Below are 18,603 nucleotides of genomic sequence, written 5' to 3'. Positions count from 1 at the left end.
TTTTCAACAGTTCAAATTTCAATCTTAAGATATACTTCAGTTTTTCTACTAGTCTTCTTTCCATACTGAATCGGTACCAGATACACTTCTGAGTTCTGACTTGTGACCCTCCTGGGTTTCTTTTACTTCATTACTTATATTACGTATTGTCTCCCTATGCACCTATTCTTTGTCGCTCTGATAATAATTATTTGCATCTCTCAATAGGTGAAAGAGCAATTTAAAGGAAGTCAAAAAACAGGTTTCTTAGTAAGTCTAACATTTTCGTCAGAAAATACTTTTGTGCATATTATGAGATTGTGATATTTTCAATTATATATATGTTTTTAAATCTTGCGTATTTTGGTGCCTGTCCCAGCAACTACATGAAACAGAAGAATTTATTTGCTTTATATGTTGAGTACAAACTTAACTTTGAATGTCATTCCAGATATTTTATCCATAGTCCTAAACTCAATAACATTGTGTCCTGTGTTATGCTTATTTTGCTACTAAAAACTATATTCTATTTTAAGGAGAAACAGAAAAGTAGTGATTTCTCTTCTCAATTTAAACATTCATACTTGCCCTTCGTGTTGATCAGAAGAGCTGAACACTTCAGTTAAAAAATAAAAATCTGGAACTCTCTGCCCAAATAATTCTAAAATGTCTGTGATTTGTGAACAGTATATATTGTATTGTCTAAGCAACTGTAATTGAAAATGGTGCTACTCCATGCAACACACAAAAACAGCCTGATAATATCTGGGGAATAGCTTTTATAAGGGTCACAACATTTTACAGTTTTTCCTGTTGTTGCTTTTTCAACGTCTATATGCAGATGTCACTGCATTTTTGCCATACTTGATCATGTATTTGAAAAACTAATTCAGACCCTTCAGAATTTTTTTTGCATCGACGTGGAATAATTTAACCAAATAACAAATCTTCCTGGTATCTCTGTATGACCAGAACTTACCAAAGCAAACAAAATAGAGAGTTATAATAACCATTTGTTTTGTTTAGTTTTGTTTTGAGACGGAGTCTCGCTCTGTCACCAGGCTGGAGTGCAGTGGCGCAATCTTGGCTCACTGCAGCCTCCACCTCTCGGATTCAAGTGATTCCCCTGCCTGAGCAGCCCGAGCAACTGGGACGACAGGCACCCGCCACCATGCCCAGCTAATTTTTTGTATTTTTAGTAGAGACGGGGTTTCACCATGTTGGCCAGGATGATCTCGATCTCTTGACCTCGTGATCCACCCGCCTCGGCCTCCCAAAGTGCTAGGATTACAGGCATGAGCCACCGCACCCGGCCCATATAATAACCATTTTTGAGTGCTGTTGAATTCTGATGGTCTCATATAACCCAGACTTAAGCAAATTTATCCAGTATGCAGAATGTACTTTCTTAGCTCCATCTCTGAAATACATTATCAAATATTGTTTCTAATTGTACCGTTTAACACAACCTATTCATCAATCTACTTATTTCAATGACAATATTAGAGGCATTAACTTTTTGTCTGTTGTGGGAACATCTTTCATGTGATGAAGCCATTTATCTTAAATGCTACAACTGCATTTTAATCAAGGTATTTGAATTATCTTTGCACGCTCTTTTAAATAACATTTACATGTTTAGTTGTCCCAGAGAAAATTTAGAATGTATATTTGTGTTTTATATAAAAATGACCTTGTGACTTGGCTTGAACACTGCTTTGCATAATTGTACTGCATAAATTACATTGAGGGTTTGGACTTCTATCACCTTAAAAATGGAAACCAATGAAATTGTACTGTCTTTTTGAGTGGCTTTATGAAAAATACTGGCAACTCTACTATTTTATGTACTATTGAAGTTGTCACTGGCACTAGATGAAGAATCGTATGATGTTAGTATAGAAAAAACTGCCCTCTCATTTTGAATCTAATTGATGCTATCACAGTCTTTTTTAAAAAAGAATTTATTAAACTAATACTCCATTTCTAATGTGAATAATTAACCTACAATAGACAAATAAATAAATCTTTAGACAACATACAAAGCACTTTATAATATTATCATGGGAGGAGCTGAAATTTAGATCAGCACTGAAATTCTACAAGAGTATGTTGTATATTCATCACCTCCTGGCCTTTTGGCCAAGAACAAGTGAAGAATATGTTGTATGTTCGTTTGTTATTGCACAGCTATCAAGTAAGCGTAATTGGGCCTGAGCCTCGCATGGTATTCAATGGGATGTGGCCTAGAGGTGCTGAAGTGTAGTTAGTGTATTCTCTACTAGAAGGCTCATGTGTGAAGGACAAACACAGGTCTGAGTTTTTATAATGTTTTCTAAAGATTCATCCAGAATGTTCTACTTACCTATTTCTGTGTTACCAACTACCCTAAAACTTTATGGCTAAAACTCCAACATATCTTTATTTTGGTCATGAATCTTCACTTTGGGCAGGACTTGCCAGTGGCAGTTGTATGAGGCGTGAACTAGAGAGGCTCAGCGGGGGCTGGAGGATCTGTTTTCAAGATGGCTTACCCACATGACTGGTAAGATGGTACTGGCTGTTGCCTGGAAACTCAGCCAGGGGACATCTTTCCACTCCATTAGGGTCTCTCCAAAGGGTTCCTTGGGCTTCCTCACAGCATGGCAGCTCGGTTTTAAGGCAGAGTGTTCCAAAAGACAGAAGTGGAAGCTAACAGTTTGTTAATGCCTCATCTGGAAAATGGCACAGTGTCACTCCTACTGTGGTCTATTGTCAAAACAAGATCCTGCACCAGTTAAAAGGGACAAGACAAAGACCCCCTCTCTGCCTTGGGAGGAGGCCAAAGAATGTGTGACTGTCTTTAATCACCACACACAGTTACCACTTTCATAGTCAATGAACCTTTTGAAGACATTTCAAATGATTACACAGGGATTGCAGGGGAAGTTTTAGACCAAGGTTAACACAAAAACTAATTACTACAAAATTGAGAACAAACTAGATGCTAAGCGTAGGTCTAGTCGGGACATGGAGATACAAGGGAAATGACTTAACCTAGAAAAAATTAACACTTCGTCTCTGGAATGTTAAGATTTGCTATAAGCGCATTTGAGTATGTAAATTTGTTTATAATCATTGAAAAATGAAAATATAAATTTAAAAGGAATGAGAATAATAGAAGAATCTGCAGTTCTGTGGGAGGTACTATGAAAGTAACTATTTTCTTTTTTTTGAGACGGAGTCTCGCTCTGTCACCCAGGCTGGAATGCAGTGGCACAATCTCGGCTCACTGCAAGCTCCGCCTCCCAGGTTCACGCCGTTCTCCTGCCTCAGCCTCCTGAGTAGCTGGGACTACAGGCGCCCGCCACCACATCCGGCTAATTTTTTGTATTTTTAGTAGAGATGGGGTTTCACCGTGTTAGCCAGGATGGTCTCGATCTCCTGACCTCGTGATCTGCCCGCCTCGGCCTCCCAAAGTGCTGGGATTACAGGCGTGAGCCACCATGCCCGGTGGAAAGTTACTATTTTCATGTTCTCTTCTTTGAAAGTCCAATTTCTTTTGCCTTCCAGAAAGAAACAGTTCTGACTTACTACTTATTACCCTTCTGGGGTTCTTTCACCTGTTCATTACTTATATTAAATAGTGTTTCCCTGTGCCATCTATTTATTCTCTTGTTGCTCTGATTTAATACACCTGTTTTTCCTCCCTGTCTTCCTTGTTTCTTTCATTGAACAGCTGCTTTTCTAGTACCTGTCAGGTGCTAAGCACAGGGCTAGCTGGGATACAGACACAAGGATATAGGTTAAGAGCTTTTTGTCATCCATGCCTCCCTCTCTCCTGCTGCATTGTTCTACCAGGAGGACCTAGAATAGGGTTTATGGTATATTAAGGTGTCAATAAGTATGTATTGAGTACATAAATGAGAGTTCAGTCTTCAAATAACTCAAAATCTAATAGGAGAGGCATAAAGAAATAAAGCTGCTGTGCTGTGATATGTATTAAATTGGACAATGTAGGGAAATATGAAGGGGAGGTGGGTCAAAATACAGCCTAAAGATGACACACCTCAGTCCTCAACAAATTACCACAAAATCAAGAATGGGCAATTGATATAATTTTCTATCATGGTGGTATAGAAATTGAAATATTTATTGATTCCAAATAATTATAGGTTCTCATTTGGATAGTTATAGTTAGGTGTCAACAAACGAATAAAAATGGGACTGAAATCTTCATATAATTTTAATATCACAAAATATGTGAGAATCATATGCCTATTTTTGTCATTTTAAAATATTGTATGGTCCCACCTCATTAAATAAAATTTCCCCATGATTACAACAGTAAAATAATCTTATTGTGGAAAATACATAGGGTACAGAAAAGTACAAAAAAGGAAAATAAATTGTGCAGAATTTTACCAAGAGATAATTATGTTAACATTTATTATAAAGTGTACATAATATGTAGGTATTCATATGGAAAAAAGGGAATACAACTTTTAGAACATAATGCTTGTGCAGTTTTTAAAAAATTCCTGTCTTTCAGTTAAAATTTTATCTTCAGCCTTTATTTGTGAAAGTTTTCAAAAAAAACCATAATTTCTCATATCTATATGATTCCACATTTAAAATTTCTGTATTTAGAACAATCTCTAGTTTTTAAAGTTTACATAGTGTTCAGCTTTTTCTCCACCCCCATCCCTACCCCCCGCCCCCGAAAGAGACAAAGTCTCGTTCTGTCTCACCCAGCCTGGAATACAGTGGCACAATCATAGCTCACTGCAGCTTCAAACTCTTGGGCTCAAGTGATCTCTCACCCCAGCCTCCCAAAGTGCTGGGATTATAGGTGCGAGCAACCAAGCCTCTCTTGGCTTTTCATTTTCTATTATAAATAATGCCGTGATGGGATTCCCTTATGCGGAGATCTTTGACCATATCTCAATTATTTCCTTAGAGTTGATTGCTGTAGCTGGAATTTTCTTAGCTGTGACCACCCCGGGGCTCTTACTCTATATAGGCATATTGTTTTTCAGTGGTTTACATTAAAATATCTTTCCATATTGGCAGGCAACTGGAGAAAGTTTAATCAGGGCTGGATGACTTGCTGCTTTTGTTTTGTAGGGTCACTGCTTTGGCTTTCTTTAGAAATTCACTGTCACATACACGCACAGGCCCACCCACCCACACACACATACCAGCATATTTATGGGAATTTATAATTTTGTCCTTTAAAAATGCCTCGACTAGAGTGCAGATGAAAAGTTTTATATTTTTAATGATGCCAGCCTGCAGCCCAAAGTATGGACCTATAGAAGAGTATTGTAAGGAGGGCTTCCCAGAAGAGTAGCCACTTCTGGTAAATCACGAGGTTTAATCAGGAAATGATATGGTTTGGCTGTGTCCCCACCCAAATCTCACCTTGAATTGTAATAATCCCCACAAGTCAAAGGTGGGGTCAAGTGGAGATGATTGACTCATGGGGGTCATTTCCTCCATACTGTTCTGATGAGAACAGTATGAATAAGTCTCGAGATCTTGTGGTTTTATAAATGGGAGTTCCCCTGCACAACCTCTCTTGCCTGCTCCCATGGAAGACATCCTTTTGCTCTTCTTTTTCTCTCCACCATGATTGCTAGGCCTCCTCCACCATGTGGAACTGTGAGTCCACTGACCACTTTTTCTTTATAAGTTACCCAGTCTTGGGTATGTCTTCATTAGCAGTGTGATAACAGACTAATACAGGAATTACCAAAGAAGGGAACTGAAAAATGATTGTAGAGACCTGTTTAGGAATACAAACTTGGATATCAGGAGTTATTACATACAATGCCAGTAGTATTCTCTGCTTTTTTTTTTTTTTTTTTTTTTTTGAGATGGGATCACACTCTGTCGCCCAGGCTGGAGTGCAGTGGCGCAATCTCGGCTCAGTGCCAGCTCCGCCTCCCGGGTTCACGCCATTCTCCTGCCTCAGCCTTCCAAACTAGCTGGGACTACAGGCACCAGCCACCACGCCTGGCTAATTTTTTGTATTTTTAGTAGAGACGGGGTTTCACCGTGTTAGCCAGGATGATCTCGATCTCCTGACCTTGTGATCCACCCTCCTCGGCCTCCCAAAGTGCTGGGATTACAGGCATGAGCCACCGCACCCAGCCGTATTCTCTGCTTTAAAAAGGGATTTGTTGTGGATTGCTTTTGAATCATGAGTTTCTGTTATTCCCTGCCCCCTTCCTTCTTCCCAACTATTCAGGGCCATGTTAATTATGTAACAAGAGGCACACTAGTCCTGAGCCAGAGGTAGGATCTTCTCTGTGAGATGCCTTCATCTCAGGCAGCCTCCTTCACAAGGCCAGAGACTCCATCCAGAATTAGACCGACACTGCAGATAATGTCATTACCCTAAGGATTACAGTACAACATGATGACATGATGGTGCATTTTTATGGCTAGATTTTTAGATCTGAAATAGACACTAAGAATGCATTAGATCCAATATTCTGCCTTAGGCCCTTATTTAAAAGATTAATATTCTTGTTGTATGAGATAGCTAAGAGGAAGTGAGTCTGTGGATTACTACACACACACACACACACACACACACACACACACACACACACACTTATGGGAATTTATTATTCTCTCTATACACACAACACATGCATACTTTGGCTATACATAAATATACAAAATATTCTTATATTGCTACCCCATTGGAAGGATGCTGATATGAGCTGCAAATATATTACTTATGCTGCTAAGTACCTATTGTAGAACAACTTTTTTTTTTCCTTTTTGAGATGGAGTCTCACTCTGTGGCCCAGGCTGGAGTGCAGTGGTGTGATCTCAGCTCACTGTAACCTCTACCTCCCAGGTTCAGGCGATTCTCCTGCCACAGCCTCCCAAGTAGCGGGGATTACAGGCACCCACCACCATGCCTGGCTAATTTTTGTACTTTTAGTAGAGACAGGTTTCACCATGTTGGCCAGGCTGGTCTCGACCTCCTGACCGCAGGTGATCCACCTGCCTTGGCCTCCCAAAGTGCTAGGATTACAGGTGTGAGCCACCACACTCGGCCTAGAACAACTTTTTATAGTAATGAGTGGGCCCAGTGATACAAACCAAAGCTGATTTCTGTAAGACTGTCAGTCCCCTAATGGAATCTCAGTAACAACTCCCACCTTGAATGATGCATGTCAGCAATTAGTAGGACAAAAGGCATCTGGCACTTTTACATCTGTGTTTAAAAATAACCCTTGTTATTTCCTCTAGGTTTTAAAATCAGACTTGTTCCATTATGAAGAGACAATCATGGAACCTACCGGTTGCCTCTTGGTGGACACATACGACATTCTCTGTGTGGAATGCAGCCTGGATTTTCTAGGCACAATTATCTTAGTTTGCAGGTATGCAATTCCAGCAAACATACAATTCATGTAATATAGCATATTCAGGAAAGCTATGCTATGTGTTCTTACATTCTCCCAGGTTTTGGGAGCTATAGAAATGAGAACTCATTAGCTATAGTTTTTGCTTCATTATGTGCTATGTGGGCTGGAGACAGTTGCTCACAGTGAGAGAGACAAGGCATCTAATGGCCCAAAAGAGTGGCTGTTTCTCAAAGCTTCCTAAATTAGTCTCAGGTAGGAGCTTTCCCAGGCTCCTGGTCTGACACAGTAATTAAAGGAGACTGGGAAGATTCACTCATTCCATAATTATTTTTAGTTCCAATACGGTCTGACCTTACTAATTCAGAATTATTGAGAGAGATATTAGTTTGGCTTAATGAGAAGCATGAAAAATGTAACATTTTAAATTGAATCATGGCTTTATTACTTAGGGCTATATTCAAAACCACAAAGTAATAGCTTAACACCTTTTGTGGTGATGCTCCTGGGCCTGCTTTAATAATGAGATAGGATGATTTTTAATTTGCTCAGGGCCGTTCTTGTCCTTGGCATACAAATTCAGTGGTCTTCGCTGTGTTCATTTGCTGTGTAACACATTTTTTAAGATTTATGTATTCTTGGATATTTTTTCCTTCAGAATCATAATTGTGACACATTACTACTGTAAGAACCCAAAGGAAAGGAAAATATATGAAGAAAGAAAAGTTAATAAATTCCTTCTCTTTCAATTCAAATCTCACATATAACCAATAATAACAGATTGGTGTGAATCCTTTTAGAGCCAGGTTTAACTGCCTTTGCCGGAGAACATAGAAGATGCTTAATAAATAGCTGTTAAGCTGACTTGAAGCAAATACCTGCTTATAAACAGTTTATTTCAGCTGGGTGCAGTGGCTTACCCCTGTAATACCAGCACTTTAGGAGGTTGAGGCAGGCAGATCACCTGAGGGCACGATTTCCAGACCAGCCTGGCCAACATGATGAAACCCTGTCTCTGCTAAAAATATAAAAATTAGCTGGGTGTGGTGGCACGTGCCTGTAATCCCAACTACATGGGAGGCTGAGGCAGGAGAATCGCTTGAACCCGGGAGACGGAGGTTGCTAAATCGTTTATTTCTATCTCTTACAATGTCCTACTTCCTTCCTTCCTATTACTCCTATCCCAGATTGAACCCCCATGTCTTTGCTTATAAGTAGATTACTAAAAAGCCTTCTACCAGGCTTCTTCACCAGCAAACTTGACCCCCCTCTGTTCTGTATACGATGTTGGAGTAATTGGTCTGAAACGTGCCTCATCCTACATTTCCCTGGCCAAGAGTCCTCCCATTGCACTCCCCACTGCCTAAAGAGGTAATGACATTTCATTTTAGAGACCTTTACATCTGGCACCAGCCCAACATAACCATATTCCCTTTACAACAATCCCTGTCACACATCTTAAATTCCAGGCAAACTACACGTTTAAAAATGCCTTGTCTACACTCTGCCCCTTCCTGCCTCTCTGCCTATTTTTATGCTGAGCTTCATTTTGGGATTCAATTTAACATTAAGGAGCTCCTCTGTTCAAGACTTGGGCTAGTCACTCCAGAGACTAGCCTGGTAGTCATTAGGAAAACATTTTTATTATCCTTCAACCCAAAGTGGCAAGATGTCAAGAAATTTATACAAAAAAATTCTTTACATGATCTCTATTAAATCTCCCACTATTTTTGCTTCTACAAATAACATCCATCTTCTAGTGTTCTCTCAAAATAGTCACTGATATCTTCCTTTCCTACCCTTCCCTAAACTGGCATTGCCCCTTCCCCTCACCCCTAGTCTCACACTTCATACTTGGCCTCATATTATATTTATTTGAGCCCATATGTTGAAGAGTATCTTAGATATATGAATATCACTTATTATCTTGTATTTATTTGTTCAATCTTCTTGCCTGTAAAAACTAATTGAAACCTCCATTTTGTGTAAGCCAGGTATTAGCTTGAAGCATACAGAAATTCAGGTTTGAGGTAAAATTGACTTTTTTTTTTTTTTTTTGAGATGGAGTCCTGCTCTGTCGCCAGGCTGGAGTGCATTGGCACGATCTCAGCTCACTGCAACCTCCACCTCCCAGGTTCAAGCGATTCCCCTGCCTCAGCCTCCTGAGTAGCTGGGACTACAGGCGCGTGCCACCACGCCCAGATAATTTTTTTTTTTTTTTGTATTTTAGTAGAGACGGGGTTTCACCATGCTGGCCAGGATGATCTCGATCTCCTGACCTCATGATGCACACGCCTCGGCGTCCCAAAGTGCTGGGATTACAGGCATGAGCCATTGTGCCCAGCCAAATGGACTCATACCTAAAAATCTTCCCAACATTTCAGCCGGTTTTGGGGGGAAAGATGGGAGCATGTTCTCAGGACCACTTTGACATCAACTGCTGGGTGTGCATTGCACACAGAAGGTACAAACTTCTCTCTGTTTTTTACAGTAACAACATTTTAAAAAATTATTTATTTCAAATCATTGTTAATTCTGCGGACTTAATTGCTGATGGGGAGAGGGTGATGTGGTGTCACTGGGAGTACAGTTTTCTGCCCTATCATAGGTGAGTTCTCCCCTTCTCCCACTTCTCTGCTTCCCTCCTCACCTGATTCTTTCTGGCTTGCCCCTAGAAACCCCAAACTTTCCCTCCTGTGATGCCTGGCCCAGCTGACATCTGCTGAGATTTTTTTTTCCAAACAACAAACCATGATCCAGGTATATTTTCAACCAAATCCAATGTTACTCTTAAGAAGAATTCTGGTATCAGTTATTAAGATAATAAAATTTCCCCTTATCCTGTTACACTTCAGAAATCCCGTTTTCATCATGAGGAAGTAAATTTGAGCCCAGCCCCTGGCTGAATTTGTAAAACCTGAATTAAGGAGGTATAATCTGGAGGCTAGTGCCTGATTTGGAAACTAGAATGGCTCAGAAGTCCCTGAAGCTAAATTATTGTTTGCCAGAGCCAAGCTTCTGCTGGTGCAAATGGAAACAGTTTGTCTTGTAAGTCAACTCAAAGTGATTTCTCCTCTGACAAAGTGAAGAGATGAGAGAAAAAATGTGTACCCTGAACTCCAGAATCCTGTTTCTTCTGTGTAATTTAAGGCCAGGGACTAAGCACGTTTTCTTAAATGAAACAAATGGTGCTATAAATGGTAATAGCAACCATGCATCTTCACTTTTTGATGTGGCTCTGATGAGCTCCTGTTAATGAAACAGGACACAGCAGATGCAAAACTGTCAGAGTAGAAGATGGAAAATGAGATTCCATGTGAAATACAGACTTCAGTGCCCAGAGATCTGATCTTAGAGAAGACAAATGATGTTTGCCTATTTGTGTGTGTGCATCTGTGTGTGTGTATGTATGTTTGGTGGTGGCAGTGGTGTGTGTGTCCATATTTGCCAGTTTATGTGTGTGTATGTTCGTGTGTGTATGTTTTTAGTTGTTAGAAGTGCTGGGCATTACCTGTTTTTTTCCATTAAACCTGAATTACGTAAATCTATATTTTAATGCAGGCTCTTGGAAGGCATTTTAGGACCTGTCTTCATTTGGCAAAATGTGGTACTTTAGAAGTTTTCTTACTACTTATTCCTGAAGAATTTACTTAGAGTCACCTCTGACCAACCTCAGATTCCAAGAATTATTCAGCGCCAAACTTCTGTAGTCAGCAACAAATGGGAGAACTGAAAAATAATACAAGGACATACTTCTTAATTGCTCATTTCTTGTCTTTGCAGTCTGATTCTACTCTAGAGACTGTTAGCTTTACTAACCACAGAAATTAATCTTTGCAAAGTCCTAAACTTTTGGAGCTCAGTGTATCAGAGAGGTTATTTTTAGAGGAGATATAACCACCAGTTTTTTAAAATGAGGTATTGGTGTGTGTATGTGGTAGGGGGTGGATTGGAAACATTTCGTGCTAATGAATAATTCAGTTTGATTTACTGGAGAAATGAAAGGGGATGGCATTCTGCCCTTCTCTTAATGTAAAAAAGATAATAGTGGTTTCGCATTAACTGTATATCTGAAAGTATCTAATACAGCTTATTTTTGTTCCAGGTCAAGTTGTCAGCCTTTAAAATAGTTTAAGACTGGTTGTCATGTTAAAGTGCACCTTTAAGAATAAAAGGAGTGTGAGATGAAATTGTGCCATTTGCTCCATTATCCCACCCCTACCTAGGTCTCCTTGCAAAAACAAAATGTGTTTCTTAATTGAACATCAAAAAAATGAAAGAAGCCAGAGGTTGGGAGTCCTCATGACAAGAAAGGCCATCGTGAATGACCCTAGTAGTTCAGGTAATCAAGCCAGCTGTATGAGTGCTGTTATTTTGACACTGCAAAGGCATGAGCTTTCAGAAGCCGAGCTTATTCTTGTAGCTATTATTTTGCATGAATAGTTACACACTACCCTTAGCTCAGGCACTTTTAAATAAGAGGCCAACGAATTATGTAAAAGCAGCGGATATAAACATGTGAATGTATGTATTAGAATATGTTTATGAAATTATGGGGCCTGACATTCGCACAAGGAGGCTTTGCACATTAAGCTTCTCTTCTTCTATTTGCAAGGCTGCTCGTCTGTTGCATTTAAGTGAGGTCTTCTCCTTAATTAGAAGCAGACAGTGAACAAATCTGCTGAATCTGGGAAGTAACCAGAATATATGGTCACGAATGCAAAGTCCTTCCTCTTTCCTCTCCCTACCCATGCACCTCCCACTAGGGGAAGTGGCCATTTGAGAGGGCGGTTACTGGGAGGTGGTGGAGAAGGAGCTTGGGAGACAGTGGAGAAAGAATGCTACTTAGTGTGTTGGAGAGAAGTGGTTCACCAAGGAGAAGCATGGTTTTGAATTTATTTACTGTCTTTTGTTGTTGTTGTTTTTCTGCAAAATGGCCAGGTTATACTCTTACCCTTGAAACCACAGTGTCTATATAAACATTTTAGGAAAGCCATTAGTAGAGGAGTATATATTTCTCTCATTTCTGATGCTACTTTGAAAGGTTTCCTAAGTAAAGGAAACTCTGTCTGGTCTTGTTTATAGTTTTCCTTCAGATGACTTGCAACATGGCTTCTATGTGGATGAGTGTAACATGCTTAGAGATGAGATGAATTGGGGCAGTGTTTTACTGGGGGCTGAGTTGGGGAGAATTGTTCTGTAGCAGCATAAGTAATTTAGTATAGTCCAGATGTTGTCAAAGAGAAAAGCATTTGGTCAAAATAAGAGAATCTGTGGCAGCAGTGAAGTGTCAGGAGCATATCAAAGCTGCAAGCATGGGAAAATGAGTTGTAAGTTCAGAGGCAGTGACAGTCAGGGACACAGAGGTGAGGGCAGGCACACAGAGTGTGGCTCAGGGGACAGGCGGAGTTCACCAACTATTTATAAGACACCCACTGTGGGCCAGACAAGGTGCTGAGTCTAAAGGTAAGTAATGGATGGTTCTTGCCTTCAGGGGAGTTAAAATTACCAGGAGAAAGAATATCAGAGAATAATTTAATGTGGTACCTGCCTTGGAATGGCAGCGCTATATGTAAGGGCTTAAAGGACCAGGCTAATCTGGTGCAGCTTTATAAAGAAAAAAAAAAAGGATGTTAAAGAGAATGTTATGCAGTCCTCCTACCTCTTTCCTTTTCCCTAAATGAAGAGAAAATCCAAGAAAAAAATAGCAATGGAAATTGAGTCCCATATGTTTCTCTTGTGATTTTAGACATATTTCCTTTCATTTTTAGAAAAAAAAACATGGATATTACTTTATAACTGCAAGATAGGCACTAAGCAAGGTTTCCTGAGTATTGGAAACATTGAGTTTAAGTCTCTTACAAATTGGGCTGTCTCATCTTCCCAAAGAGTACCAGCACTAATCACATTATGCAGGCGACACACTCTGGTCATATCATCCAGAATGATCAGCACTTTTCTTGCCTGCTGTGATATCATTGGGATGCCTCATTTGCAAATGGGAAAATTGTAGGGCTGAAAACAATATGCTTCTGATTTTTTTGGTACGACGAAAGGCAAGTGGTGGTCAGGATAATGTCTGAGAGAACTTGTGCATTTGACTTTCATGTGTGGTTATAACTGATTTCTAAGGATCCTAGGGGCCAAGGTTGAGCTCAAATAATTCACTGGTATAGGGAGAAAAATGTGCCTCAGCAGAAAAATATGCATTTTGTCTGTAGCATACCCTTCTGGTAGTTATCTGATTCTATGAAAGCTATTTTATAATTATTTAAATTGTAGATGAATGATAGCAGTGCAAAATAATTTTTAGCTATAGACAAGTAAATTCTGTTCCCTTGTATAGAGGCTCAGTTGACTCCCCTGACCCCAGGTAGTTTTGCCTGCATTTGTACATTTCATTTCTACATTCTATTTTTTTTTTTTTTTTTTTTTTTTAGATGGAGTCTCGCTCTGTCGCCCAGGCTGGAGTACAGTGGCGCAGTCTTGGCTTACTGCAGCCTCCCCAGTTCAAGCAGTTCTCTGCCTCAGCCTTTCCAGTAGCTAGGATTACAGGCCACCATGCCTGGCTAATTTTTGTATTTTTAGTAGAGACAGGATTTCACCGTCTTGGCCAGGCTGGTCTTGAACTTGAACATGATCACAGGGTGGTCCTGATCTACCCGCTTCGGCCTCCCAAAGTGCTGCGATTACAGGTGTGAGCCACCGCACCTGGCCTCATTTCTACATTCTTTTAATCTGTAAAAAGTGGTGCTTTTTGAACTTCTCCTTTGACTGGTCACAACATTTGCCAGGTTCCCTTGTTATAAGTAAAATAAAATCTTTGACCCAAATCCTTTTTATGCCTGTATGAAAATCATGATTTTGTTTTTTTTTAAATTATCACTTAGCATTGTATTATTATTGTTGCTGCTACTGTCACTACCACTGCTGCTGCAATTGCTTACTGTTTCTACCATGACGAATATTTTTTGAGCAATGTCAGTGCTCAACTTCCCATGTAGCCCTAACTTAGGAAGAAAAGAGCAATTTGATGCATTAGAAAAGCAACACTTCGGATAACTTTTATGAACATGTATCTCACCCAGTGAAGTGAAGGCAAAATTCCACAGCCACGCAGGACGTTTTTTTCCCCATACCTTCCCAACTTGTAGGATAACCTGTGGGTAGCTTCACTTTGATAATCCATGCCAGAGCATAGCAGAAAAAAACAAAACAATACAACCTGCTGAACAAATCCCGTTACTTTTCCTGCCCATCCAGACAGATGTAGTACCTTTTTATTCAAACTCATTTCTAAGGCTGTTCTTCTATTCTCTGTTACCCTGTTCTTACTTTTTTTTTTTTTTTGAGATGGAGTCTCGCTCTGTCTCCCAGGCTGGAGTGCGGTGGTGCGATCTCGGCTCACTGCTAGCTCTGCCTCCCAGGTTCACGCCATTCTCCTGCCTCAGCCTCCCGAGTAGCTGGGACTACAGGCGCCCGCCACCACGCCCAGCTAATTTTTTGTATTTTTTTAGTAGAGGCGGGGTTTCACCATGTTAGCCAGGATGGTCTCGATCTCCTGACCTCGTGATCCACCTGCCTCGGCCTCCCAAAGTGCTGGGATTACAGGCGTGAGCCACCATGCCTGGCCGGCTGTTCTTACTTTTTAACTGCTAATATCCACTCTCCTGTATGTTTTATTTTCCGACGTTCAGTTATTACTAATAGTCATTCTGTTGACAAGGTTTCCATTTAACTTTTATGAGGAAACGGATAGATTCACTTTGCTTTCTATGCAGAAACGGTGGAAGGGCAAAATACATTTTGGTGCCTGCCTCTAGGAAATGTCAACTCTTAAGCCAGTTTGCTCTCAATGAGTTATTGCCTCTTCATCTTCTCCTTCTCTTCAAAAATATTCAGCACCATTTCAGAATGTTATATCCTGAGTTGTTAAACCTTCACCAGTATTTTCACATTCAAGTAATGCTAAATAGCACGTTTGCCAGCAAAATTTAAATTGAATCTGAACCATTACTTTTACTTCAGGGCAGAAACAGCTCAGTGGCATATACTTCTGTCTGAAATAGTTTTAATCAACTGCTAAAATCAAAATTGCCATTTAAATTGATAGCATTTTCAAGAACAAAATGGTTTCAGAGTCCTTTTCCAAACTGTCTGTTGGCTTAAATATGGGTCAATTGCTATATTTGTGTCTATGCCATCCTTATTTGATACTTCTATGGTATAATCCTATTTTTTTAATTCCCGGATTACTTAGCACTGAATTACATACTGAATAGTAACATATACTGGTAGACAAACAGATACCTGATTATATTACTTTCTTTGACTCCTAATTTTTAAGACATTCAGCATATTCCAGACAGATTTTTGTCGTGCTGTAGTCATTTTACATAAAGAGCTGACCCCCCAAAAATCAATTTTGTAGGTAAGAGAATTTCAGTATCATGCAGGTTTCCTGAAAGTCCTTGGGACTAGATTTAATTAGTTTTAATGGGCTTGTATTAATAGCAAAGTGGGTTTATTGTTTTTACTAAGACCATGAATTATGAATTTGTTTGCTTCTCATTTTCTTTTTTTTTTTTTTTTTTTTTTTTGAGATGGGGTCTTGCTCTGTCACCCAGGCTGGAGTGCTGCAGTGGCACAACCTTGGCTCACTGCAGTCTCCACCTTCCAGGCTCAAGCGATCCTCCCGAGTAACTGAGGCTACAGGCATGGGCCGCATTGCCTGGCTAATTTTTGGTACTTTTGGTAGAGATGGGGTTTCACCATGTTGCCCAGGCCGGTCTCAAACTCCTGAGTCAATCAATCTGCCCACCTCAGCCTCCCAAAGTGTAGGGATTACAGGCATGAACTACGGCACCTGGCCTCATTTTCCCTTCTATATATGAAAATTTCCCTTCTTTATGTTACATCCTTGGAAAAATAAAATTTACTTTGTTGCTTTTCAACTTTTAAAAGAATATTTTTTTTCCCTCATGTATACATTCAAACAAAGTGTTGACAGTTTCAACTGTGAACACTGGGGCATGATACTGTACCTGATTTGAGCTAATACTTGTTACAGAATGAATAAAATACTATCTAGTTTTTAGCTTTAAGAAAATAAGTTTTTAAAAGAAATTCCTGCATACTCTTCTGGAAGTCAAAAATTCTAATTCAGAGTTCAGCCTCTATCATGTCCTTTGTGTCCTTGATAGTTAAGTCATGTATCTCTTTGCTACTCAATTTTCTCACCTGTAAAATGGGACTGATAAAAAGTAGCAGGGATGCTTTGAGAGTGATATTCAAGTGTGAATATAGTTTGCACTGAGATGTAATAAAAACCACCAGTGCAGCTTTGTGTAAAGCTGATGTCACAAACAAGTGAGGAGTCTACTGTCAGAGCCCATGCACAAAGATTTCCTGAAAAGACATGTATGGGTAGGGTTTCCAGCCCTACTTGGGCATCTAAAGAGTTGCTTAGAATGTTGACTCGAGATACAGTATCTAAACCTGACATGAAAGCCCTGTAAGAAATTAGCCAGGCCCGGCTGGGCGTGGTGGCTCATGCCTGTAATCCCAGCACTTTGGGAGGCCGAGGCCGGCAGATCACGAGGTCAGGAGATAGAGACCATCCTGGCCAACATGGTGAAACCCCGTCTCTACTAAAAATACAAAAATTAGCTGGACGTGGTGGTGCATGCCTGTAATCCCAGCTACTAGGGAGGCTGAGGCGGGAGAGTTGCTTGAACCAGGGAGGCAGAGGTTGCAGTGAGCCTAGATCGCGCCACTGTGCTCCAGCCTGGTGACACAGCAAGACTCTGTCTCAAAAAAAAAAAAAAAAAAAAAAAAGAAAGAAAGAAAGGAAGAAAGAAATTAGCTCGGCCTGGTGTAGTGGTGCATGCCTGTAATGCCAGCACTCTGAGAAGCTAAGATGGAGGATTGCTTGAGGTCAAGAGTTCCAGACCAACCTGGGCATCATAGCAAGATCCCATCTCTACAACTTTTTTTTTTTAATTAGCCAGGTGTGATGGTGTACACCTATAGTCTCAGCTACTAGGGAAGCTGAGGTGGGAGGAGCACTGGAGCCCAGAAATTCGAGGCTGCAGTGAGCTGTGATTGTGCCACTGCACTCCAGTACCTTGGGCAACAGAGCAAGACTCCATCTCCTAAAAGAAAAGAAAAAGAATTAGTTGGATTTTAGAGTGGACTAGAAAAAGGGGGTCTGCAATATAGATCATTAGGAACTACCTATAGGTTTTCCATCTTGGAAAAAATGTTAGTAAATGTATGGTATTTTTTTACTCTGTCATGATCTATTGCTTTTAAGTCCAAAACCAGCCTCTCTTTTCCTGGCTTGAGCTTATCCAGAAGACCACTCCACTTCCTCATTCTCATGACTAGGAGAGGAAGTCTGAGCACTGTGAATATTGGGACGAATATACGGAAGTCAGGGGCTCCTTTGTCCACCATGCCTGTGCTTTTAAGCTCATGACGAACAGTGCTTGAGAGAGGTGTGTACCGAGAAGTAAATACAAACAAGCATCCAACAGCCTGTCCATTGTGATCCTGTGTTGATTGCTCAGTCTTCACCTTTTTATTTTCTATATCTCTCTTCACTCTTAAGTTTTTGAGGCAATATTCACAACGAGTCACATTATAACATGCAAAGTTTAATTGCATAAAATATTTCGTCTTTTTCAGATCTGTCACTGGTGGAAGTGGAGATAAAAAAGATCCAAAAGAGTAATTTACTTTTACGCTCAGAATCAGATTCTAAATGTAGAAATTAATGAGACGTTTACATAGTTGTAAAAGGAAGCTGCAAAAGGAAAATGCAAAAATGACTTTATACAACCTCAACTTCATCCTCCCTCTTCTTGTCTCTCCTCTTTCCTTGTCTGTCTTTTTCTCTTTACTGTCTTTCTCCCTATTCTTTTCCCTTTCCCCCTTCTAGTGATTTTTGTAATGTACCGGGGAGTTAAAATCCAGCTCTGCTCCAGGAGTAATAATTTTTTAATCAAAAACAGATAATTATTAGTGATATTCAAAGCCAAAAATCATGGATTTACCCATTCTTGGTTCTGTTGACTCTGTTTCAAAAGGCATAACTACTTTTGTCAGTGAAGCTGACAGGCATAAGTAGAGGACTCACATGGAGAAGATCTGTTCAGAGAAAATCAGTTTTCAAGTAAGAATTGCCCACTATAATTGAGATCTGTGGGCTTTCAAACATCTCAGGCCAGCTCACCAGTTAAATCCAACTAGAAGT

The 18,603-nt window shown here is 40.0% G+C and overlaps 1 protein-coding gene across 16 annotated transcripts in view; it reads left to right on the top strand.

Moving 5' to 3' along the window:
* The window catches only part of SORCS1 (sortilin related VPS10 domain containing receptor 1), a 607,476-nt gene that overhangs the window by 171,129 nt on the left and 417,744 nt on the right, over positions 1–18,603 (top strand). Inside the window, exon 1 of one of the 16 annotated variants that reach the window (XM_017015616.2) lies at positions 7,092–7,364. The exons of the other annotated variants lie outside the window; for them this stretch is intronic. Coding sequence (XP_016871105.1) covers positions 7,323–7,364 — 42 coding nt within the window. The 5' untranslated portion in view covers positions 7,092–7,322. Of the gene's footprint in view, positions 1–7,091; positions 7,365–18,603 lie in introns of those variants that run through there. 16 annotated transcript variants of the gene reach the window in all.

The sequence above is a fragment of the Homo sapiens genome, chromosome 10, assembly GCF_000001405.40.
Source record: "Homo sapiens chromosome 10, GRCh38.p14 Primary Assembly".
Lineage (NCBI taxonomy): Eukaryota > Metazoa > Chordata > Mammalia > Primates > Hominidae > Homo > Homo sapiens.
The sequence above is the reverse complement of the archived record's forward strand: the minus strand, read 5'-3'. Positions and strand labels throughout refer to the sequence as shown.